General features: G+C 53.6%; 2 annotated features.

Moving 5' to 3' along the window:
- Nucleotides 1,609-2,108: an enhancer, noted in NCBI's record as "H3K4me1 hESC enhancer chr3:127184965-127185464 (GRCh37/hg19 assembly coordinates)". NCBI's record gives its function as "activates a minimal SCP1, AML or CMV promoter by ChIP-STARR-seq in naive H9 embryonic stem cells {active_cell/tissue: H9 hESC(naive)}" and the evidence as "EXISTENCE:reporter gene assay evidence [ECO:0000049][PMID:30033119]".
- Nucleotides 2,109-2,610: an enhancer, noted in NCBI's record as "H3K4me1 hESC enhancer chr3:127184463-127184964 (GRCh37/hg19 assembly coordinates)". NCBI's record gives its function as "activates a minimal SCP1, AML or CMV promoter by ChIP-STARR-seq in naive H9 embryonic stem cells {active_cell/tissue: H9 hESC(naive)}" and the evidence as "EXISTENCE:reporter gene assay evidence [ECO:0000049][PMID:30033119]".

Raw genomic sequence — 6,794 nt, 5'->3', positions numbered from 1 at the left:
TCTTCTGGCTCCCACAGCCTCCTGGACCTGCCTCCTTCTCGGAACTGACCACAGAGACTCGCAACTACTCCCACCTGCCTCCCAAGACTGAGATCCTGGGATGTCCCCTTCCTCTCCGCCTTCTTGGCAGCAGCCCGCACAGAGCAGTCCATGCAGGACTTGGTCTACATTTGTGGGCAGCAGTGAAGCTGAAGCTTCTCCCTAATGGGGATGCTGGGGTCACCCAGTCATGTTCACTGCAGAGCAAGTTCTCCTGTTGGGTCCAGCTCGCCCACATCCAGGGACCTGGCCTGCAGCTTGGGAGGTTCTAGCCTCCAGGTGACCTGGGATTGTAGCCACAGAGAGCCTCTGGTGGTCTGGGCCCTTCTGCCCCAGAGGAACCCACCCTGGACTGGAGGCGGCCCCCACCCCCTGCCTAATTAACATCCAGAGCGGCTGTCTGCTTCTTTGCTCCATCTCATCTCCAACATTTTTCATGTCTAATCCACCGAGGAGATCTCCTGAAGGCTTTGAAGTCTCTGGGCGCGTGAATAAAGATGTCACCCTGGCACTCGCCGTGCTTCTTAATGAGCATGGGTTTGATGTGGAAGCCGCAGCCCTGGAAGGAAGCAGTCCGCCCCCAGCTGCCACCGCCCCCATTGCATCAGGGCGGCCAGGCCTGCCTGCAGCAGGCGAGCGGGGGTGGGGCTGGGAGAGCCTAGGTTTGAAGCCAGAGCTAGTTAAGGGAGTCTGGGCCAGGCAAGCTGCAGGAGGAAGGGGAGGTGGATGGCACTTATGATTCCCTCCTCTGCCCTCCCTGGCCAGGGACCCCCATGCCCCGTGCCCAAATTCAGGGACCCAGATCAGGCAGGGAGAGTTGGCTTAGGTGAGAGTGCAGGTCAGGGAAAGACGAGGGCAGAAGAAAGTGCCTGGGGATGGGAGGAGAACATGCCTGGTTGGGGGATCAGGGAGGAGGTGGCACCTGCAGTGGGCCTGGGTCGAGGCAGTGGGAGGTTCTTCCCAGGAGTGGCTGGCTCCACTGGCCCTCCATCTCTAGGAACTCCCACCAGCACTCTCACCTCTGTGCCTGAAGACAAGGGGCTCTAAAGCAGTGGATGGGAGCCAGGCTGGCGCCGGGCTCGCTGGGATGAATCCCCTCCATTGCCTGGATGAGGCAGGAGCCTCTCTGTGCCTCAGTTTCCTTATCTGGAATGTGGGGCTGATACTAGGCTCTACCTTGTGGGGGTGTTGGATGACTAGTGAGGCCATTATGTAAAGGACTAGAAATGCCAGATGTATATCACTTCTAACAGTATTACTGGAAGAATGTATCTGGGAGGCCAGGCCTGTGTGGGCCCTGGACCCCATCCTGCTTCCTCAGCCCTTGTCATCTGGTTACTGGCTGTGCCCCTGGTTGGGTCCTGTCATCAGTTGACTTGGAGCATCATGGGTATAAGGACACCACCCTGAGTCCTGCTGAGCAGGGGTCCCATATTCCTGCTGGTGAAGTTGGCCTCGGGGACATCCTCACTTTCTCTTGGAGACACCTGCACCTGCACCCCTCAGCCCCTGCAACCTGCACCCCTCTGCCCCTGCAGCCTGGACCCCTGGCTGCTCCTTTCAGTCTAGTGTTGCAGCATTTAGTAAGCACTTACCTCGGGCTCGGACCCTTCACATGGGTGACCCCAGTTGCCCCCTCACAACCCAAGGGGCAGACACTGCTCTTAGGCCCATTTTATAGAGATTTCAAGGGACCCCAGATGGGCTAGGGGAAGTTTCCCAAGGTTACAGGACAACTGGCAAGGGATGGAGCCAGCATCCGCTCTCTGATGGCCCAGGTCTCAGCAGTCCCAGGAATTCCAGTCCCCCCTGGTGTGGGCCTGTGCCAAAAGCCAGCTGGGCTCTTGTCTGTGCCCACTTAGGTGAGTTCAGCCTGTCTGCCAGGAGGAGTGGGGTGGGGCTCCTGGGGTACTTCCAGTTTGGGTGGTATGGACTGGTGAACCTTTACCCATGTGGGGCCTTAAGAGGCCAGCAGGGCTCAAAGGAAAAGCCCTGCCCACCCCAGCTATCTACTGGGTGGCACTTAGGGGCTCCAGGGGTCGCAAAGGAAGGTCACGTGCTTGGGCCAGCCTGGAGCCACAGGGCAGAGCCTGAGAAGCAGGGCTGGAAGAGTCCATAGCAGGGGTGCTGGGGACTGACAGGGCTGAAGACAGCCCTGGCAGTGGGTCAGCAACCTGGGGCTTGTAAACATGCGTGCAGGTAGGTCCTTCTCTATGGGCCTTGGCCAATCCTGGATGCCTGGGGGCCCCTATGTCACTCCAACCGTTTGGACTTACCTTGTTTTTGCCAGGCACTTCCCTTGATCCTCACACCAATCCTCTCAGGGAGGTATAACTGCACTCTGTTTTACTGAGGAGACAAAGCTCAAAGAGCTTAGGTGACTTGGTTGAGGCCGCACAGCACTGGTTTCCTTCCCTTCCTTGTCTCAGTTCCCATTCCCACCTGGTGCTACCTGGGCTCCCTTATAAGCGACTTGCACTTGAATCCTGGTCTCAGGATCTGCCTCTGGGGGAACCCCATCTAAGACACCTAGCACGGGCTTGGACGATCAAGAGACCCTGCTTGTGTCTTCATGAAGCTGATGCTGATTTAGTGGAATGGTAATGCTTTTCTCCTGGGGAACGTGACAGCTGGTCCTGACCACTCCCAATGCTGGCTGGGGCTGAGCTCTGTGACACCTCAAAACAGCATGGACCAGGCTCAGAGGTGGCCTGTGCATGGCACTGTTGTTCTGGGGGCACTTTTGAAGTAATTAAGCACCTGCTGTAAGCAGGAATCACATACCCTTTGATTGCTAGGGAATGACTAAGGGGTGGCTTCCTTTCTGCCGGATATAGACTACTGGGAGCGACAGGGGTGGCCCTTGGGGTATGGCTGGGGCCTGCAAGGATATCCCACCAAGGACTGCTGGCAGGCTCCACCCACTGATAGCAGAGCACTGTGCAAGGGGCCAATTCTATTCCCACATGCCCCTGTCAAGCTCACTCCCATAAGCTGCTGCACTCAAGGAAAAACCAAGAGGATTAGAAACTGAAGAAACAGAGGCAAGATGTCCATACTGCATGGTGTGGCTCTCTCTGCAGAAGGGCTGGCTGGTTATCTTTTCCCTGAGACCCCCTGGAAGGGACCTGGCTCAGCCGTCTTGGGCAGCACTATCCCTCAGTAATAATTGCCCCTGCCTCTTCCTCTGGAGAAATCAGCCCCAGCCCACTTGGCCAGCTCTTGTCCCTGCTCAGAGGCTGTCATGGCTCCCTGCGAGTGAAGGTCCTGCACCCAGGTGCAGGCTGACCTGTGGGCCTTGGCCGTGTTACCGCTCTCAGATCCCTCAAAGTCTTAAACCTGTTCAGCGCTTGCGCTCAGCCACACCTCCAGGCCTTTGCCCATGCCACTCCCCTCTGGATGGACACGCCCTCCCATTCCTCCTTGCCTAACCTCGTTGCCTGGCATTCAAGGCCTCTCTGATTGAGGCTGTGCCCACCCACCCCACCTCACATTCCTCCTCCTCCCTGCACTCTGTCTCAAACACTGAATCACTTGCAATTTCCAGAATGTGTCCCCGCCTTCTGCCATCCTGCCTTGGCACACACTCTTGGCTCTCCAGGGAGATGGACTTGTTGGCTGTAAGGCACTCTAAGATTCAGAAAGGGCTTTCCCTTTCTGTTAGTAAACGCTGCACTGACCACCCACTAGGCTGACCCCTGAGTGCCGGGCAGAGACACCCTCCCTATGCCAGCAAAACGCTCTCCGTAGGAGCTCATTCTCCCTCGAATCTCAGGGATGGCCTTGCATTCTGATGGGCGCACATGGTGATTTAGGGAAAGGGAAAGTCCACAGTCCACACTGTGGGCTCCTTGCTCCCCGAGGCATGGGCCTGGAAATGAGCCGGGGTGGCTCAGAGCCGGTGGGGAGAGGTTTCCCGCTATTCGCAGCATCTCTGGGAAGATGCCCAGAATTATCCACAGAGGGCATCAGGTGAAAGTGATGGGAAGAGTGGAACCAAGTTGGACAACACACTTCAGGATATTATCCAGGAAAACTTCCCCGACCTAGCAAGACATACCAACATCCAAATTCAGGAAATACTGAACTTGGAGCAGGCACTTTGGAGCCTGAGCAGCGAAGGGAGGGGCTTCTGATGGCAGGCTGACCTCCAGTTCAAATGGTCAAGCAAAGGACTCTGAGTCTAAGAGAACTTGGGGTGACTTAAAATGGCAAGGCAAAGCAAACCAACACAAACAACACCCCCCAACCACCACACTCACACATGCCGCGGGAAACAATGTAGTATTACGCGGGAGAGCAGGGACTCTGGAGCCAGACTGCCTGGGCTCAAATCCTGGCCTTGCCACTTATTTTTGATATGACCTTGGATAACTCATCTAACCTCGCTGTGCCTTGCTTTCCTCAAAACTGCAAAATGGAAACATGAGTAGTGGCTGCCTCATGGTTGATGTGAGGGATTCTGAGAGTTAGCGTCGGCTCTAAACACTTGTTTAGGACAGTGCTGCAGTAAAGTATTATTCCTACCACTGCAGAATGGATGGAAATGGGTCCATTCACACTGCAGAGTACTATACAGCATGTAAAAATAATGGGCCCTATCTGCGTGTGTCAATGGAGAAAGAAGTTAGCAATTTGGGCGAAAAAGCATGTTGCAAGTTAATGTATGTGATATAACATTTATGACAAAGCACAAAATAATAACATATTCTATGAAAATAGATATATATAAGCACATGCATGCACAGACATACATGCACATACACATGTATATATACATGTAAGTTAATAGGAAAAGAACTGGAAGAATACCATGTGCTGATATTTGTGGTGTTTTTGGGGAAGGTGAGGACGGCATTGGTGGTGGGTGGGGGCTGGGGAAGGTATTTGAAATTGGGGTGGTGAACAGGGGGACTTTACCTTATCTGTAATGTTCTGGTTGTTCAAAAGGAGAGTGTATAATTACTTGTTTAATAACAATTTAATTAAAAAATAGTAGTGACTATTGGAGAAGGAGCATGAGCCATGAGTCACCTGCTGTGGGTTGGTACCTGTGACCCATGGTATGGTCCTGCCTGCGGGGGAAGGATGGCAGGGCAGGGAACACACCCTAAGCTCCATGAAGAAATATCTAGTTTGAAAAGGCATTTCTGTGTGAGAGAATAATTTCATATTTGGAAAATGAAAGGGAATTAGCTACTTTTCTTGTAATATAAACAACAGGAAGTAAAGCTAAACAAAATCCTCTAGACAGTTGGGGCTTGGATTTCAAAAGAGAGAAATACCGACCGTCGCCAGGCCGTTTTTTGTTCGGCATGTGGCATGTGTTGCTTTAACCCTCAGCCGCCTCTGTGGGGTGGCATCACCTCCTTTCTGCACCACAGCCACTGAGGCTATGAGAGGGGAAGTGAGCTGAAGACAGAAGCAGGTAGTGCAGGAACTCACTTCTGGACCATGTCCACCACCGCCCCCCAAGGCCTGTGCTGGGCATCTGCACTACATCGCTGTCTCCGAAGAGGGAAGGCCAGTGGCCTGCACATTCAGCAGCAGGAGTCCATGCCTATCTCTGCTACCAGCTTCCTTTTACTATTCTCATTCTCAACAACCAGCAGAATTCCACTTTACTGAACACTTACTGTGTGCATCTCATACACATTGCAATAACCCCCTGGGCAGGTTGTAGTAGATTGATTACAGAAATAGATCCAGTTCCTCATTCCTCCCTATGACCTCACACCTTTGCCACATGATGAAGAGCCTCCCACAAAGGGGCGGGAATCCGTTGCTCCACCTTGTCTCTGCGCTGTTCCGTGACCTGCTTTGGGCAGTAGAATGTGGCCAAGTGACACTGTGCTTGTTTCCAGACTGGGCCTCAAGAGGCCTTGTCCACTTCGATGCTTGCTCTTGGGACTTCCCAGATGCCATGGGAGCCAGCCTGGGCTAGCCTGCAGGAGGATGAGAGACACGTGGCCCCAACACCACCTGCCATGTGAATGAGACGCAGCTCAGGCTGAGCTGCCAGCGGACCCAAGAAGCATGAGGAGTACATTGCTAGCTGGTTTGCAAATCCTCTGTGTTTTGCGGTAGTTTGTTAGGCGGCACTATTGGTGATAATAGATAACAGGCAGTAAGGCTTAGCCCCCTTTGACTGAGGAGAGAGCTGCATTGCAGAGAGGTTAAGTGGCCCTGAGGTGGGCGGCCAGCCTGGACTGCCACACTTTGAGCTACAGTCTTGCCTGGGGATGAGTTTTCTCCCTCTGATCAGTTCCACCTCTAGCACAGAAAATAAGGCTCTGCATCTTGCCCTGCCTCTTCCTCCTGCTGTATTCAAGGCCCCAAGGATAATTCACCTGTGAAGACACTCTGGGGAAGCCCCATCATCCCTGAGGCCCCCACTCTGAATTTCCATTCTGGGGAATGGCCCCTGCTTGATTTGATTCTGTAGGCCAGGCTGGCCCCAGGGAATCAGGTTGGCAAGAATATAGGACTTTACTGAGTAATTATAAGATTAGGCATCCCCCTTGAAATTAAATGCTACCTCTTTACCTTCCAGAGAAGAATCCCACCCCCCACCTGCTACCATGTAATTATCTGGTGAATTACTCTACGGAGGTCTCACAGTAATTATGCTAGAAGTCAAAAGCCAGCAATTCTTCCAGTCATTACAACCAAAGAATTAGCTTTCATTGTGTGAGCCTGCCGTGCCGCAGCAGCGGAGGCCAGCCCCAGAGCACTCAGTCCTCCTGCACAGGGCC

Source organism: Homo sapiens, chromosome 3, assembly GCF_000001405.40.
Source record: "Homo sapiens chromosome 3, GRCh38.p14 Primary Assembly".
Lineage (NCBI taxonomy): Eukaryota > Metazoa > Chordata > Mammalia > Primates > Hominidae > Homo > Homo sapiens.
The sequence above is the reverse complement of the archived record's forward strand: the minus strand, read 5'-3'. Positions and strand labels throughout refer to the sequence as shown.